Raw genomic sequence first — 2,103 nt, forward strand, 5'->3', positions numbered from 1 at the left:
GTCTGCTGTATGCCAGGCACTGTCGTAGGCAGAGGGACCAAAAGGTGAATAAAACAGTGTCCCTGGCCGGGCACGGTGGCTCTCACCTGTAATCCCAGCACTTTGGGAGGCTGAGGTGGGCGGATCACCTAAGCTCAGGAGTTTGAGACCAGCCTGGCCAACATGGTGAAACCCTGTCTCTACTAAAAATACCAAAAATTAGCCGGGGATCGTGGCAGGCACCTGTAATCTCAGCTACTCAGGAGGCTGAGACAGGAGAATCACTTGAATCCAGGAGGCAGAGGTTGCAGTGAGCCGAGGTCGTGCCATTACACTCTGTTGCCTAGGCAACAAGAGCGAAACTCTGTCTGAAACAAACAAACAAAAAAACAAAAAACAAAACAGTGTCCCTGAGCTCACAAATGGGTGTAGGGTTGGCCATGAGGCTGAGGGGTTGTGCAGTAAAACCAATGATAGGGATCTACAAAGAATCTTAGAGGTACTTAGAGAAGGAACAGATGTTCCTTCTCTCTCATCCAGCCATTAGTGGGGAGAGGTGGTGGTCAGGAAACACTTCCTGGAAGACAGAACACCTGAGAGAATTCAAAATGAGAGGAGATCCACGTGGGTGAGTAGCCTTGTTTTGGCCTTAGGTAGAACAGAATTTAGTTTCTACTTTCTCTGATGAGGCAGAGACGGGCAAGATGGCAAGTCTTCTTGACTGTAAGTCACAAACTGATAAACCCAAACCACATTGTCTCAGGGCAATTGCTAACTAGAATTTCTGCTTTCAATTACTAAAAATAGTTTCTTCTAATAATTTTTTCTCACAGAGATGAAAACAGCTATTCCTCAGAGTCAGAGCTGGGGAGTATCTTCCTCAGTGATCACTTAGATTTTAGCCCCTTTGGATGGCTTCTAAATAAGTGTATGCTGTGGTAGCTACACTACATATCTATGGGATGCTTGCAAGAATACAAAAATGAACTTTACTAGTTATGAGAGACTACATTGCTGAAGCCAATGGACTCTAAAGTACAGTGGTTCAAACCCAATAGAAGATTATCACACATAAAGCAGGGTGAATATTCCAAGTCAGCTGCAACGGTCTTCCGCATGGAAAATCAGGACTGCGAGCTCCTCCATCTGAGATTCAGCTTTCCTAAGGTCTTGATGTCTCTTTGGTCCAGTTAAAGGAAGTGGGGTGGGGAAGGAAGGTGTGGACACTTTCTTAAAGGGCTACGCTAGGGACTGGTACACCATATTTCTCCTTATATTTTGTTGGCAAAAATTAATCACATGGCCACAGACAGCTGCAAGAGCTGCTGGGAAAGTTAGTTCCAGGTTGCGCAACTGCTTCCAGTCATAACTCTATTTCTATGGACGAGGAAGATCTTGGTGAGCAGCTATTGTCTTACTCACAAAAGCTGAGAGAAAGAAAATGGATAAAATGGATAGCCACAGAAAATCTAAGTTAAGTCACTAATAAAAATGCCTCTCTGCTCCAGAATGTTTTATTATTATTTGCTTGGTAATATAAATACCTGACCAGAAATACCCTTCTTAAAAGCTTCAGATACAAGCCCATCCATATATGAGCAACAACCAGGTGATTATATATTGTTCATTAGTTAAAACCCTGGTTCCTTTTTTTTTAATTCCATGAATCTGATAATGAGATAGTATTCACAGCAGGAAGTCATGGGAAGCTGTCAGATTTTTCTAATCAGAGCAATTTAAAAACATAAATATTTTTCAATGCCTTTCCTACACTAAATATTTTGGGGTAATAGTTTTAAAAAACACTGTCATAAATAGATATATTTATATACATACACACACAATTAAGACCGAAATACAAGTGATGTAACTCAGTAATATTACTGATTGCTAAAGGGGTTGTTCAGGAAAAAATGTAGGTCAGAAGGCATGGTGAAAGGAAGATTAGTGCAAAGCCTGAGCTATGGGTAAAATGTTGATAGGTATAACGGATGGGGATATAGATTGGATGTTTGTCCCCCCTTCAAATCTCATGTTGAGATGTGATCCCCAATATTGGAGGTGGGGCCTGGTGGGAGGTGATCGGATCACAGGGGCGGATCCCTCATGAATGGTTTAGCACCA

At 42.2% G+C, this 2,103-nt stretch overlaps 1 long non-coding RNA gene across 1 annotated transcript, besides 1 other annotated feature; it reads left to right on the forward strand.

The window, feature by feature from the left end:
• Window positions 433-482: an enhancer, noted in NCBI's record as "active region_15683". NCBI's record gives its function as "activates an Ori minimal core promoter by ATAC-STARR-seq in GM12878 lymphoblastoid cells {active_cell/tissue: GM12878}" and the evidence as "EXISTENCE:reporter gene assay evidence [ECO:0000049][PMID:35858748]".
• LOC124907757 (uncharacterized) lies at window positions 478-1,486 on the forward strand. Its single transcript, XR_007086300.1, has 2 exons — window positions 478-607; window positions 813-1,486. It is a non-coding gene; the product is annotated as an uncharacterized LOC124907757 (long non-coding RNA).
• The last annotated feature ends 617 nt before the right edge of the window (window positions 1,487-2,103 follow it).

This window comes from Homo sapiens, chromosome 2 (assembly GCF_000001405.40).
Source record: "Homo sapiens chromosome 2, GRCh38.p14 Primary Assembly".
Lineage (NCBI taxonomy): Eukaryota > Metazoa > Chordata > Mammalia > Primates > Hominidae > Homo > Homo sapiens.